This window comes from Homo sapiens, chromosome 12 (assembly GCF_000001405.40).
Source record: "Homo sapiens chromosome 12, GRCh38.p14 Primary Assembly".
Lineage (NCBI taxonomy): Eukaryota > Metazoa > Chordata > Mammalia > Primates > Hominidae > Homo > Homo sapiens.
In genome coordinates this window covers 70,610,238-70,626,964 of record NC_000012.12, presented here as the reverse complement: position 1 = coordinate 70,626,964, position 16,727 = coordinate 70,610,238, and the positions used below count along the sequence as shown (strand labels likewise).

At 39.0% G+C, this 16,727-nt stretch overlaps 1 protein-coding gene across 5 annotated transcripts in view; it reads left to right on the top strand.

The window, feature by feature from the left end:
- PTPRB (protein tyrosine phosphatase receptor type B) overlaps nucleotides 1-16,727 on the top strand; it is a 121,560-nt gene that overhangs the window by 10,465 nt on the left and 94,368 nt on the right. For all 5 annotated transcript variants that reach the window (XR_944651.2, NM_001330204.2, NM_001109754.4 and 2 more), the window contains exon 3: nucleotides 4,319-4,575. Coding sequence is in view for 4 of the 5 variants with exons in the window: in NM_001330204.2 (NP_001317133.1) it covers nucleotides 4,319-4,575 (257 nt within the window). In the remaining variant the exon portion in view is untranslated. The remainder of the gene's footprint in view (nucleotides 1-4,318; nucleotides 4,576-16,727) is intronic.

Sequence of the window (16,727 nt, the reverse complement as noted above, 5' to 3'; positions counted from 1 at the left end):
CTTTCTTTCTAATCATGGGTCTTTTAAAAGTAATTTAGATATGTATTTTAGGTGCACTCTTTATTTCACTAATTATATTTTCTGAAATGTTAATTATTCTTTTAACCATTTCCAATAATTATTTAGTCCATTATCATTCCCATCTATTCCAGTCAAGTCTTATTTAATGCACACACACACACGTGTGTATGTGTGTGTGTACAGTCATCCTTCAGTAACATGGGGATGGGTTCCAGCACCTCCTGCAGACATCAAAATCCAAGGATGCTCAAATTCCTTATATAAAAAGATGTAGTGTTTACATATAACCTACACACATCCTCCTATATACTTTAAATTATCTCTAGATTACTAATAACACCTAACAAATGTAAATATAAATAGTTGTTGTATTGCTTAGCGAATAATGACAAGGAAAAAATGTCTGTACATGTTCAGTACAGATGCAACCATCCATTTTTTTCCTAATATGTTTGATCTGCAATTGGTTGAATCCACCGATGAGGAACCCGCAGATACAAAGAGCCAACTAGATAGATTAGGTAGGTAGGTAGGTAGGTAGGCAGGCAGGCAGGCAGGCAGGCAGGCAGGCAGGAATATAGATAGATAGATAGATAGATAGATAGATAGATAGATAGATAGATAGATAGATAGATAGATAGATAGATGGATGGATAGACATCATCCTTTTCTAAAGTATCTCCTGTTTCATTTGTTATCTTTTTTCCAGATGATTTGCTCTCTGTTAAAAAGGCACATTATATTTGGCATCTTCCTACAGAATAGAAAGTACCAGTATAGTTAAAATCTTCTATTCCAAAAATGAGTTTCATTCAAGTTATTTTGTTTTCAACATGCTTAAAAGTTATTTGTATCATTTAAAGAAGGGAAACTTACACAATATATTATCTTTATAAAAATTTTTATTTCTGTTATTATTTCTGAGCCATAGATGAATTTATAAGATAAAATACACATTGCTCTTTTAAAAATGAATTTGAAAGATAGTCTTGATATTATGCAGTCATTACAAATCACTTTGTAAGGTGATAGTACCCTATAAAAAGAGCTTTATGCAACTTAAATGCTAAAACTTTTTAGATTGACCAAGAATGGTCGACCTTACCTTGAATTGTGTTCTGGGAGAAATTGTGTTATAGTAGGGAAACAATGTAGTAACAATGACACAATAAAGCTTTCAAAAATAGCTTTCACATATTGTTCCATTGTATAAGAAGTTTTCCTTGCATTTGTCAAAACATCTTGCTATTCCATGAACTGTGAAACATATATACCTTTTTTAAGAACACCCAAAGAATTCATGGATAACAAAATATCCAAAGATCTACTATTTCAAATAAAATTTCACAGCACCTGTTTCAACAAAGAGTTCAGGAGATAAAAAAAAAAAAACTTAATCATCTTATATATTTCTATAATGGATTTTCTTTCTTCCCATCCATTTTATAATCCTTCAGTAACCACATAAGAAATGATTCAAATTTCTTTTTGGTTCATATTATGTATATGACTAAAACCATATACGTACATGTATATTAGGAATCACCTGAGAAACTTGTTATAATAGCAGGTTTCAGGTCCCACACCAAGTCTGCTAAATCGCAGTTTCCAGGAGCAGGACCAAGGCTTCAATATTCTAACAAGCTCCAAATATGATTCTGATGGCTACAAAAGTTTGCAAACCACTGCTTTAAATTTGACAAAACTTGGAAGTTGAATGTTAAGACTAAATCTTCTTTCTTGCTTCTTAAATAGCACAAGTTAAAAACACAGACACAAAATGAAAGGGTACTGGACCTGAATATTCTGTAGTTTCTTTCTTTGGAAAAAAGGTGGTGGTCTAAAATGGAAAATGAACTTGCTTGGTATGGGATGCTTTAAAAATATATTTAGAAGGTTAATTAAAGATAATGACATAAGACTGAAATTTTTTCCATAGGATAGTCCAAAGCTACATGCAATGGTAATAACCTATGTTATTTGCAGAGAAATTTCAAGAGTGTTTTGAAAATTTATCTACTTTTGGGAAAGTCCAGTTTTATCCACTGGATTATGTAAGCTGACTAATTTTTTTAAAAAGTTCTTAGGATAGAAACTTACCAACAGCTCTTTAGTGAAGAAGAGTAAGCATAGGTTGACATACTAAGACATGTAATTAGATGCTAGGTATTTAGAAGCTTGTTTTTGTCCTAACCCCACGGTTAAATTTTTTTTGAGGGTCTAAGAGCTAAAATTGTCATACGTAGCAGTCAACTCAGAGGATCAGGATCTACCACAGCTCAAAACAACCAAAATGCTAATCTGCATATACAGAAATGTTTACATCCCTACAATAGACAAACGTCTACTTAAGGGAACGTTCAAGCACCTAACTTAAGCAAGACTGCAGAATTAAGATTGTTTCCTGGAGTTTGTTGTAAAGGAATCTCGCTAATAGTATAATTGAGTTTGTCATGTAGAAAACACCCCAAGGACGAATAAATCTGATCTATGTCCGGAGTGGCTAACCTGGGCACAAAGGCAGTAATAGCGGCACAGGATTCAGAAAGGCAAAAACAAACAGAAACTAAGAGGAATGTCCAAAAATCAATCAAAGCCGAGATCTAGTAGATGTACAAGTAGGATCGCCAGATAATATACGCAGCACTCGGTTACATTTGAATATCAGATAAATAACAAATAATCTTTAGTATAAGTATATTACTAATACATAGTATGTTATCATCCTTGTATTATTGTATATGTGGGATACACTAAATATACTGAATTATACTAAAAATTGGTTGGCTATTCATCTAAAATTATTTGACTGGATAGAATGTATTTTTATTTGCTAAATCCATCGACCTTATGTTCAGGGTACTTTGCACAACCCTTTGTATCTCAAGGAAAGACTGCTTTATAGCCAAGATTATTTTATTAACTTTCAGAAGAACTGCTGATATTTATATCTTGATAAATTATAAAAATACCTTTTCCAGCTTAATCTTCTTTTTGTGCCCTCATCGCCCTCCTCTTTACATCCATTATCATACGAAATGCACTAATCAGTTGAAATTGGAATGGAAAGGAGTGAGACTCAAAAGAGGGCTAAGTAAGGCAGAACAGATCAGGGAAAATAGGATGATAAATAGCTTATTTAGGAGACCTCACCTGGCACATAGTAGTTGTATAATAAACAGTTGTTTGAATAAATAACCAGTAAATGAGTAGTTAAAAATAAAATCCTCGCTCTCCCAGTCTTTTAGCCAGAAACTCTTCAAAGGCACAGTTATCTGATTGTATAAGGTTTTGTGGGGTTTTCTATCCCATAAAACTCTAGTGCACTATGGAGTTGATGGGAAGATCTAAACATACCACCTCAAACCATAATTTACAGAACTTATCAGTGCTTCACTTGTGCTCTAGGGTCTTGCTTACACAGTGCAGCCCAAAAACCAGCAACATCAGCATCACCTGAGAGCTTGTTAAAAAGGCTGGCTCTGACCATCTCTAGTGCGTCAGAATTTGCACATTAGCAAGATTCCCAGGAGATGGAGAGCACATTTTAAAATTATGGCTAAGTGAACCTAATTCATGAACCAGTATGTTTTTTTTAATATGGGCAATTCAGCCTTGCAAAACAAAGCTATAAGTTAATCCCACCAGCTCATAAATTATAAGTCAATTCTCTGTTCTTCCAGAAGATAGATAGCTTAGAAAATACAACAGTCTCATCATTTGTAACTCATACAGTTGGATTAGAAACAGTTTGCACTGTGGCTAACGAAGTGTCATTACTTTCCAAGGAACTGTCAATCTTTGTGGTGAAGTTAGGCAAGTCATTAACAGTGATTCTCAACCTGGTATTTTGTTTAAAACCTGCTTTGAGAAGCTGATAAAAGCTATGACAGTACCCCACAGAAGAAAAGTACATATTCACATATACATATAATTTTGCACAGTTTTTGGAGACTCATGGATTCCCCTGAAGCCAATTCAGTGACCCCCCCCCTAAATTCTCATAGAATAGGTTTAATTCTCTTTTCTACACAGCGCTGGGTTTTTCTTTGGTAGCACAGTTTCTACAACTTTCCTTCCAGGTTATAAAATTGATAGATAGATAAAGGATGGGTGAATTGGACAGGACAAATGAACATTGTCACACACTCAAAGTATATTTGCTTTTTCATATAACTGAAGCTTATCCACATGCCCATTATTGAAAAGGCCCTCTTTTGCTAAGTAAAATTGATTTTATGTGAAGAATTCATAAAACATGAGAATAATCTTTGCAACTATCTTTTCTTTACCTCAGCTGGCCTGGGAGCAGAAGTTTCGGTGAGGAGCACTAGAAACACGGCTCCACCCCAGATTCTCACTACCTTTAATGCAGTTCCAGATGGCCTGGTATTCCTTATTAGGAATACCACAGAGGCCTTCATCAGAAATGCTGCAGAAAACTACAGCCAAAACAGCAGCGAGAGGCAGCATCCCAATCTGCACATGACTGGAATTACAGACACATCATGGGTTTTGTCGACTACTCAGCCCTTCTCCAGCACCACTGAAGAGGTAAAAGGAGGGGGTGTGTGGAGTGTGGTCTGTGCACGTCTCAGGAGGCTCATTGCTTGAAAAGACTTGCTTTGCTAAAAATGCCACTGCTGCAGTAGGGGGATTAGGCACTCTCACCCTGTGTCCTGGCTGCTAATTGTACAGGAAAGCATTTTACATAATGAAAATCTTTGCAATTGACTCAAAATTTCTATATCTTTATGAGATGCCGATAATTAGGCTGCCATGGAATAACTGTATGTTGGCCATATTTTCTGAACCAAAGTCAGGGTTCATGGTGTTACACATGTCCTGAAACCAGAAAATAGAAATTGAAATCAGTGCCCTGCAGGCAACCCTGAGTATATGTCATAATCATTTATGCTCCAAAGGAAGGGAGAGAGACTAAAGCAATGGCAGATTCAAGAATCACTATAATTGATTCAGGAGCACATTAAAAGATAAACAAAAGTCACGTACCACTTCCACATCAATACCCTTGAACCACCTCCACCAGGTGACATTAGTCAAATGACTGAGAAGCAGGGTGGCACCATCATAGGAGTCTGTTCAAATAGTGATTCTGCTTCAGGTGTTCATCTCTTTGGTTTTGCTTTCCTTGCAGAGTTTTAGTCCACCATTTAGGCAATACATGTAATTATAGCACATCAAAAAAGCTAAGGTTCCACTGGCAGACTTCAGCTTTTTCCTAATAAACAACCCAAATCATTTATAGAAGTCATATGACTTCACATCCATTTAGCATTCTGGTATCTTTTGCATTGTGCAGAATTTCACATTGCATATGGTTCCTGGCTGGTGAGCACATGTTTCATTATTGATCATAAAACAAATATAGCCAGTGCATTGAATAACTCATGGGACTTTATTTTTGTCTCTACTTCGCCTTTACTATAAATCTTTCCTGTGACCTAGTTCTTCCTTCACTTCTGAATAGAAGTTAGAAAAGCCCCATTACTTTTCTGGACACTCTATATCACTTTAAAACTCAATACTTACTCTCAGTTCATTAACAAAAATACCAACTCCAGGAAATAATGTGAACTCTAAATTTGACTTAAATGTTAGCTTCTCCTCTCCCATCACCCCACCCAGTTTGGGCTTAAAGCAGGGAAAGGGAAACATGTCCAAATTCTCTCACTCTCCACCAAGCTTTTCACCCACCTCTCCTAGCCTGATAATTATGGTTTCAGATCTATCTGGGCGTGGAAAATGGGAAAGGAAGACAGGAAATGGAAGCAAGAGAGTTATGACTTAAGGATACCATCATCAGCTGGCACTGTGCTCTCCCTAAATCTCCAGCTCTCAAACCCTTTCAACCACTGACATGAGTGAGAGATTCACCGCTTACTTTTTTTAAACTAAACTTCTTTAAAAATTTTGTTTAAATTTAGTTAAAGTTACAATTACAGTAGTAATCTTCTTACATGCATAGATCGCATAGTGGCAAAGTCAGGGTTTTGGGGGTTTCTATCACCCAAATAACATACATTGTACCCACTAAGTAATTTCTCTTTATCCACCCTCTTCCAACCCCCTCATCCTGAGTTTTCATTGTCTACCAATCCACATTCTATGTCCATGTGTACACATTATTTAGCTCTCACTTAGAACAAAATTCAGTGTTTATGTCTGACTTAGTTCTCTTAAGATAATGGCCTCCAGTTCCATCCATGTTGATGTGAAAGACATGATTTCATTCTTTTTCATGGCTGAATAGTATCACCACTTACTTTTGAAAATGAATGTTTCTTGGAGGAGCACCTCCTCATTGTGGCTGAATGTGCCTAGCCAAAACTTCCATTCTAACATCAGTTTACAAGAGATTTTATTTATATCATAGCTTAAATATATGTAACAGTAGAGAAAAAAAATTAAGTGTGTCAAATAAGAAAAATATTGAATAAAAACTATTATAAACATTTATCTGCCTTGAACACTAAAGGGTTGTCTTTTAGCAAAAAGAACAGTCTCCAATTTTTGCCTAGCTTTAACCATTGTGAAACACAGAGAGAAGTCCAAGGGGTAGCTAGGCTCTGCTGCAGTCAAGAGTCTGGGACAACCAGTTCCAGAGCTCTGCAAACACAATACCCAGTGGGCCAACCCAGCACTGTGTTACAGAGCTCACATGATCCAGCCCCAGACCTGGCTTGCAGCTTTGGATCATGTAGCCTTTTTCTAGAGTGAGATTCACTGCAGTGTTTATATGAGCTCCCAGGTAGGGCATCAGAATGACTATGCATCCAACTGTCATGTTCCAGTTTTTTTCTTGAAGCTTAAGCAAAGTTTTAACTATGTCCTGGTAAGCTAATGTGTAAAAGCTATGCTCTTTCAAAAGACAGTTTCTACAATTGCAGCTCTCATGACTCTAACGCCTTAGACTGAGCATCCCTGAGAGGTTATTATTTGATTTAGCAAGAGCTTTAACTTTATACCAGTCCATTATAAACAGCTGTGGTTAGATACTTTGAAAAGTAAAAATGAGTCACTTGGGATATAAATTGCCTGTCCCTTGAAAGTAATTTCAAAAGGTACTCTGTCTCGACAGAGGATGCCTAGAAAAGTATAAGAAAGGAGTAAAATCATTTGACTTAATTGCTTGGAATTGTGTAAAAATAAAATCTCTATGTGTCCATTGTTTTCCTTATCAGACAGCATCTGGTTTGTGATGACCGATGGGTTAGGGTTAGGGTTCACTTGCATGACTAGCAGTCAGTGCTGGGTGTAGGCTGGGGAGTCTAGGTTCTCCTCCACATGGCCTCTTATCTGCCAGTAGGCTACACCAGCTTCCTTTTCATGATGGGTTAGGGCAGCCTCACCAGAAGTCAAAGGTGGAAGCTACAAGCCTTTTGAGGCCGAGGCTCTGGAACCATGCAACATCACTTCTGCGATATTCTATTGATCAAAGCAACTCTCAAACCAGGCTAGATTCAGGGAGTGTAGAAATAGATTCCATTTCTTGATGGGAAGAGCTGCAAAGTCACATTGTAAAGGAGCGTGCATATTGAGTGGGAGGAATCTGTGACCATTAAGCAATCTACCATAGTATCATCATTATCATTATCATTATCATTATCATCATCATCATCATCACCACCACCACCCACTATCTCTGTTTTATAGATACCCAGCTGAAACTTAAAAAGGAACTTGCCCAAGATTAAATGACTAGGGAATAACAGACCAAGAAGAGTATACACACACACACACACACACACACACACACACACACTCCCCTAAACATCTAGTCACATATTCTCTTACATAGTGTGCCTGATAATAAAGGTAAATGCCAAGGAGGACATGATTTGAAATCCAGCAATCACTCCTCTCTAATGCTACTGCAAGATTGTCCTATGTTGGCTATTGGGGATCAGAGTATTCCCTGCCGTTCTCCTTTTCTCTCTCTCTTCTCACATCCTTACCTGCCAGTGTGAGGGGTCTGACTTTGGAAGTTTGTATACTTGGGCCGGTACTTGACCTCAAAACTCTGTGGTGCTCTCTCTCTTCTAGCCCCCAACCCTGAGCAGTAAATGAATTAACACATATCATAGGCCTAGAGTAGTGCCTGAATGATAGTAAAATAGTGTTTAATTAATTTTAGCTGCCATTGTTGTTATTGTCACTTTTATAAATAGTATTATGTGGATTGCGTGTCTTCACAAGGACAAAATCGATAGAACAGGAAACTTGTCTATGGTATGAGTCAGGAAATACTTTGATCAATTGTTCGCCAAGTATGGACCCTAGTCCCAGAACTTATTAGACATGCAACCACTTGGACCCTATTCTAGACCTAATAAATCAGAAGCTGGGACTCTGTGTCAGAGAAACCTGGCTTAAATCCCAGTGGTGATATCTACTAGTTACTCAAGTCCCACTCATTTCTTCTTTAACTTAAGGATAGTTATGGGTACTCACTCTGCCTCATAAGACAGGATTAAATTCTGATTAAGTAAAATGTTTTCGAATACTGGCTAGGCCTGATGCAGTGGTTTACACCTATAATCCCAGCACTTTGGGAGGCCGAGGTGAGCAGATCACTCAAGCCCAGGAGTTCGAGACCAGCCTGGGCAACAGGGCAAAACCCTGTCTCTGCAAGAAAAAATAAAAAAATTAAAAATTACCCAGATATGGTGGTGCGTGCCTGTGATCCCAGCTACTGGGGAGGCTAAGGCAGAAGGATCATTTGAGCCCAGGAGGCCAGGGCTGCAGTGAGCTGTGATCATGCCCCTGCACTCCAGCCTGGATGACAGAATGAGACCCTGTTTCAAAACAAACAAACAAACAAAAAACAAACAAGAACACTGGCTATACATGATAAATATTCAATAGTTTTAGCTATTAATACTAGCTTCTCCTTGTTCCTGCTTCATCATTCCTACCTTGCCTTCTTCACAGGGTGTTAAAAACCAGATGAGTCAACATATTATGTGAAAATACTTTGAAAGGGATAAAATGCAGAACATGCATTAGAAATGTTACTGGCTGGTTCTGATACTGCTAAATATCTCTAAATCTTTCCCTGCCCACCCACCCTTGCTCCGGCCTGGGAGAAGGATTGCATTTCCTCAGTTCATGAATAGCCATTGTGGTACTGGTCTGGGCTTTCACAGTTTTGTGTTTCCTTCTATTTGGCCTTCAAAGAGATCACAGCCCAGTGTGAGTCTCCAGATAAATGAGGAGGCAAATGCAGAAAACACCCCACCCCTGCAAATGCAGAAAACTCCACCCCCTGCAAGTCTGGGATAACCTCCTATATTGGGGTCACTTAAAGTATGCAGGGGAGACACCCCGCTGCTACTACTGTTCTGTAGCCAGAACTAAAGATGGGAAAAAATTCCCCTTCACTGAGGCAAATGCCTGGAGGGAGGAGGGCAAAGAAGTAGCGGGGGAGAGGGGGAAAGGAAACCATCCTCTGATCCTTCATCTCGACTCCTAGATTGACTAGTGTGAATGGATACTATATAAACAGACTCTGAGACTGCTGATGCTACAAAAAAGGCCACTTGGGAAATAACATATTGTGGGGAGGATACGTTTCAAAAGAACTTAATTTATAATTAACATCTTTCAAGCCTAATTCTAACATGGACTATAGTTTTCTTAATTTGCCAGTTAAAGTGGACTACCATGTGCCAATAGCATAAAGATGGTCTACAATTCACTGGACCCCACCAGCCTGAAAATCTCAAGGATTTTTATTCTCTTTCATTTTCTTTTAGTGATGGGCGATTTGCATTGTTTTCCATTTTGTGCACAAAAAGACCATGTTGCTATTTTGTGAACATATAGTTAACCCTTGAACAACATGGTTTTGAACTGTGCAGGTCCATTTATACGGGACTTTCTTTCAACCAAATGCAAATGAAAAATACATTATTGGTGGAATTTGTAACTCAGGTATACAGAGGACCAACTTTTGTATATGCAGGTTTTGCAAGGCCAACTATTTTACTTGAGTATGTGGAGATTTGGTTATACATAAGGGTCCTGGAGTCAATCCACCCCCATACTGAGGGATGACTGTATAATCATATGCACATAAAATACAACCATGAACAGAACACATGCATTGAAATGGGCCCTTTAACATGACAGTATTTCTCTGCCACATTGGTCTCCCTGGGCAGACGAGTTCTACCCTAGATGAAAGTTGATACAGTGGGGAGAGAGAATGGCAATGGGAAAGCAAAATGAGATCAAAAGAGAAGCCAGGACATGCTGATTGAGAGGGGAAGCTTGTGGTGCTTACCATTGGTTATACATATATCGGAATCACCTGGGAAGCTTTTGAAAGATACATATTCTAAGATTCCACCTCAGACCTATATCAGGATTTACTGAGGTAGGACCTCAGCACCTATTGTGTGAAAATCTGCCAGAGTGGTTCTAATGTGCAATCAGGTTTGCAATCCATTGGAGAATAACTGAATAATCAGCCTGTTAAGAAAAACTCTAAAGCAGGAAAAAGGAGGAAGTGTTGTTGGGGATATACAACCTAAATCTAATCACAAGGACATCAGATAAATTCAGATGGAGGAAGATGCTATGGAAATAACCAACCTGTATCATTCGAAAAGGCCAATGTCAGAATGGTCATTTTAAAAGACTGAGGAATTGTTCCACATTAAAGAATATTAAGAGGCTGGGTGCAGTGGCTCACACCTGTAATCCTAGCACTTTGGGAGGCCGAGGCAGGAGGGTCACATGAGCCCAGGAGTTTGAGACTAGCCTGGGCAACATGGGGAGATCCCATCTCTATAAAATAAATAATTTAAAAAATTTAAAAAGAAGATTAAGACACTGACAATTAGATGCAATACAGGATCCTTGGGGCTGGATCTAGAGAGAAAACAAGCAAAAAAAAGGATATTATTGAGATCGTTGACAAAATTGAAATATAGACTGTGGATTTAAGTATATCCATTTTGAATTTCCTGAATTTGATAACTTTATTGAGATTGCACACTTAATTCAGGATATATGCAGCCTATTCCCTCCACCCATAATTTCTGTGGGTGACTGTTTTTGATTTCCTTTTCTTTAAAGCCAATGTTATCATAAGCCATGCTTTATTTGTCTGCTATCCTAGGGTTTGGTAATAAATGTTTGCTAGCTCCTAAATCCATAGCGTACAGCAGCTACACCCATATAGACTGCCCCATTGCAAGCATTACTGCCTCAACTGGGTTCATCTGGGAGTAGACTCCCTTCCAAGGGTGGGGTGGCAGGAACTGTGGTGTGAAAGAAGATGCAGCAGAAGTGCCTGATTGGAAGAGTGGCTCACTTGCACTCACATCTGATTATAAATTATTTGGCTGTTTGTAGTTACAGAGCTATAACAAAAGCTATGTAAAGCCCATTTCCTTCAAATTAAAACAAAATAAAAAGTAGGGGAGGGGAAGAGGCTGATAAATGGGTGTGGGAAAAAAGAATACCAGGAAACCTTAGAGATGTGTTCTAGAGAGACAGTGGAGCCTGCTGTTAGAGACGTAACCGGCACTCCCACCCCTCCCTTGCAGTATTTTAAAAAAATCTTGGCTGGTCTAACAGACTGAGCAGCTGTTAAATGTCTTTGGGTGTTGATCTACTGAAGAGTTTCTTGGGTATGATTTTAGGTACGAGATTGGAAGCAATGATAATTTACGGTCATTTGGATGTTCTCAGAAAGATGAGTTCTCAGTCATGAACTTTGTCATTCTCTAATTTTACCGACTGCGCAGCATTCATTGTTTATTTTAATGTTATTCATAGAATAGTATTATTACTAATAATCATGGAACTTAATATTTATTGAGCCCTTTAGACAGGAACTGTACTATACATATGACATGCAACTTCTCATTTAATCCTTACAACCGCCCTCTCCTAATGCTTCTATTATTTCCATTTTCCTGGAGACCTATGATCTAGGAAGTTTAGCTAGAAAAATTCCTTGAAAAGTAAGTATCTCAGACTGTCTCTCTAAACACAAAATAGGCTGGTCATGGTTTTTGGCTTTAAACTACTTATCAAAGTAACATTTCTCTACATTTTAATGCATCACACCTGCTGCAGGTTAAAATTGTATTCACTTTTGCCAGAATTTACTATTGAGCCGGTTCGAAGTAAAACTCAGAAAAGGATTTGCCATCTTGTAGTTGTTTTTAATTGACACATTTCCCTGATTGCTATGCTTTCTTCTAATAAATACCTGAGGTTTGCATAACAAAACTACCTCCTAGGAGGAAAGGTATCAAACTGGCCTTATGTCTAACATGTGTTAAGTTTGCTACATGTTGATCCTTTTTGCTTAAGTATTCACAGTTAATTTTTTTTGTTTGTTTGTTTTTGTTTTTGAGATGGAGTCTCACTCTGTCACCCAGGCTGGAATGCAGTGGTGCGATCTCACTTAATTTTTAATGAGAAGTTATATATATCAAAATATGCATATTATATATTATAAAGGTCACCAATTCACTTAAGTAATACATTCTAAAATTGTTCTTCTAAGTCATCTATGTAGTTTTCTTATAAGCAAAGAGCTCAGTAAAATTTATTAAAAAAAAAATTAAAGCCAAGATCTCATTAACTCTCCTGAATGTAAAATGATATCAAGTACAGGGTTTAGGGTATAATCTGAGACTTTGTTCAGAATTTGAATAACTCCTTCTCATGAACTAGTACTGGAAGGCCTATTAAAATACAGAGGGCTCCATTATTGAGCTCTATCCCCAGCATTTCTGATTCCTAGGTCTGTGGTGAGGCTGGTAAGTTTACATTTCTAGCAAGTTCTCAGATGACGATAATTTGAGAGCTACACTTTGAGAACCACTGTTCTAACGGGTACTGCCTCCCTCCTCCTTCTCCTTTTCCTCCTTTCATCTTCCCTCTCTTCACTTTTCCCACCTTTTTCTCTTTGTCTTCAAAATGAATCTTTTCTTCTTTGTCATTCCTTTGCTCTTCCCTCTTTTTTCTCTTCTCTTTCCCCTCTTCCCTTCCAGGATAGTATTTAAGATTCTAAACATTCATTCTAAACATGGTCCAGCAGGACCAACAGGACCATGTTTAGAAGGACTTGTTTAGGATATTTATTCATGTAACAATATTTACTAAGCTGACATGAAGATTCAGCAAATGTTGGTTGAGACTCTATGAAAATCCCTGTGCAAGAAGAGCAGGACAGACAAAGATTCTGCTCTAACAGAATCCTCCATATGACCGGGAAAGGTAGACAGCACACAAATACATAAATGATTAGATTATTACCAAAAGTCATTGCTCTGAATTAAATGGCCACTGAGATGAAGAATAATAAAGACATAATTTTTCCTTGTGAGGTCAGAAAGGGACTGGCCCCTTAGAGGTGTGCTGAAGCTGAAACCTAAAGGACGAGAGAAAGATTGCCAAACAGAGAGCCTGGGGAGGAGTGGCTGAAGAAGAGGAAATGACAGGCACAAGAGCTCTAGGGCAAGTCAGTTCCATAGGCACGGGATGGGGAGCAGAGCCTCCAAAACCTATACCAGAGCCTGGCACACAATAGGTGGCTAGTCAGTGTTCGCTGAATGAAAGTAAATGAATTATCAGACCCAAGCAAGTGGAGAATAGGAGGCAAGCAGGAGGGAGGAAAGAAATGGGCAGAGGCCAGGTAATGAGGGGCCGGGGTAAGGACCATGACCTTTTAGGTCATGGGTGATGGGAGTGTGGATTAACCTAACCAGTCTACTCTGCCCTCCCCTCATCCATCCAACACCACTGCCCCTCATCCCCATGTCCAGTTCAAACCCCTGTCCAAAGTAACGGTTCTCAAACAGTGGCTCCCAGACCCCTTGATGACCCATTGTATTATTCAACATCTATGTTCATAATGTGACAAGATTCATACTTTTAGCCATGAACTCATAATTAATAACTTTTTTTGAGAGAAGGTTTTCACTCTGTTGCCGAGGCTGGAGTGCAGTGGCACAATCTGGGCTTATGGCAACCTCTGCGTCCTGGGGTTAAGCAATCCTCCTGCTGCAGCCTCCTGAGTAGCTGGGATTACAGGCACGCACCACAGCATCCAGCTAATTTTTGTATTTTTTGTAGAGACAGGGTTTCTCCATGTTATCCAGGCTGGTCTCAAACTCCTGGACTCAAGTGATCTACCTGCCTCAGCCTCCCAAAGTGCTATGATTACAGGTGTGAGCCACCGCACCTGGCCAATTAATGTTTTTAAATTGCTATGACTTTTTTTTTTTAAGACAGCTGCTTGTTCACTCATGTTTAATCAAAAGCAGCCCCACCCTTCCCATGTAGTCTGGGAAAGGTTTCCTGGTGGCAAGGAAGAAAGCTTGTCCCCTGAAATGGTACAGAGTGGCTGATTCCAAATTTCTGGAATGCAACTTCTAATTCAAATAGTGTCCTTATGTAGGACAAGCAGGCTCAAGAGAAGTTGAGGAATTCCAAACAAAGATGAGAACAAAAACCAAAATGAACCAATTTATTTATACTTTGTCCAGTAGTTTCAAATAAACTCCTCATAGAAAAGATGATATCTGGAAGCTTTTTTCAGTCCTATACTTCCTTGAATATATTACAGTTTTCTTGGATTTCTCATGTTAAGTTTTGTACTTTTAAAAGGAAAAATGTTATCGGTAAAAGCCTGAGTTTAAACTCTTCCTCTTGTTTCATAGTATGCTCATGTTTATGGGTCATTTAGGACTCACTAATCATTTGGGAGCTCTGCTGTCAGCCTTAAGGTTCTGCTAGCACATTAAAGTTTGCAAAGGTAGTTTAATGTAGTTGTGATATTATTTATTCATAATAGCTGTGTGGTGTATTTAGAGTAGGTATTATTCCAATGTTACAGTTGAGGAAAGTACATTGTTATCTAAATACAGCAAGAGAAGAAAAACATAATGTTGCAAAGGAATAAAACTGGGAAAAGGCTCCTATAAAGGCTGAGGGCAGCCAGAGCCTGTAAGAAGGCTTGCAGTATCTGTGGAGAGCAGGAGGGGACCCCTGCCACTGATGAGGCTGACAGGTATGCCAGGCTGTGAAGAGCCACTGAACTTGGGCACAAAATACAGAGTAAAAGTTCTTTACTCTTCAGGTGACCTAGGCAGAGAAATAGGGAGTTTTTTTGTTCCCAGAAATACACAGATGTTCTAGGTTTGACCTTCTTTGAGTGTTTGTTAACTTGAAAGGATTTGAAATCTCTGGTCTGGCTGTAGATTAAAAGTCTGTAGAATCTCTCGAGGGGAAGAAACTTCGTTTTTTCATTAAGAGGTATTTTTAAAAGCATGTTTTCTAAAAGAATTGAAGCAGGCCAGGCACGGTGGCACACGCCTGTAATCCCAGCACTTTGGGAGGCCAAGGCGGGTCGATCACTTGAGGTCAGGAGTTCAAGGCCAGCCTGGTCAACGTGGTGAAACCCTGTCTCTATTAAAAATACACACACACAAAAAAAATTAGCTGGGTGTAGTGGCACACGCCTGTAATCCCAGCTACACGGAAGGCTGAGGCTTAAGAATTGCTTGAACCCGGGAGGCAGAGGTTGCAGTGAGCTGAAATCGCACCACTGTACTCCAACCTGGGTGACAGAGTGAGACTCTGACTCAAAAATAAATAAATAAATAAATAGAATTGAAACAATTTTCACTTTTTTCTTTTTTCTTGTTTTAACTTTCCTCAAAGTAGACACAGTAGATATAGTAGACAATAACATAGCTTTATGTATAGCCTATTTGAAAAAGAAAGGAATATGCCATCCTTCCCGCTGATTTGAAAATTAGAATGTGGAATTTCATTTCTTTTGGCAGTTGTTAGGGATGGTGCTCCAAAAAAGCAATAAAAAATTATAAAACTTGTTGCAATATTTTGCTTTTCTCACTTGTGTACAATTAAATATTTTTGCTCTTTAGTTATTGGGAGCTTTTCTAAAATCAGTTTTCAGATAAATAACCGTTTGGGTACTGAAGCAGTTGCTAAAGGGCATACAGTTAGGGCTGAACGCTGAATAAATGCCATTTTTTTTTTAACTTGTGGAGAGCTGACTATCAACAGTAGTTTCCACAAATGAGAGTTTACATGGCTGTCTTCTTTTGGCTGGACAATTAGGGATGAAATGGCTTTAACTACTGGATGATAAAACTGTTAGCTGTGGGTTGAACACTTGGTAGTGATTATATTTGTCGTTAGCGCTATTTACATAAGATTTAGGGAGGATACAAACCTATACAAGAGAAAAGGGAAAGTGATTGGGAGAAAAGAATGGTCAAGCTGACAATCCTTTTGGGGTCTTTTTCTCTTGCTAGTGTCAGGGGATGCCACCGGGACAAATGAATGCTTTGAAGTGAGAAGGGCAAAAGCTCTCTAATAAAAGACTTCAGGAAAGAGTGCAGGCGACCTGGGGAAATATGCTGCGGTCAAGTTTAATCCTGGGAAAAAGTGGTCCTGGAGAAAGCAGATGAGGAAGATAGGAAGGAAGATAGGGAGGGGGAGACGCTGGGTGTGGAGGGAGGAAAGGGGCGGGGGTGGGGGCCTGGAAAGTGACAGGGAGCAAGCACTAATTGTGGCTAAGGCGACTGGGTCGAGAACCACAGACTGGGGAAAAGGGAGAGTACGGGAGGAGGAGGAGGCAGAGCCCCGCGGAGCCGGACCGGACCCCTGGCCGGGAAGGTATCGGC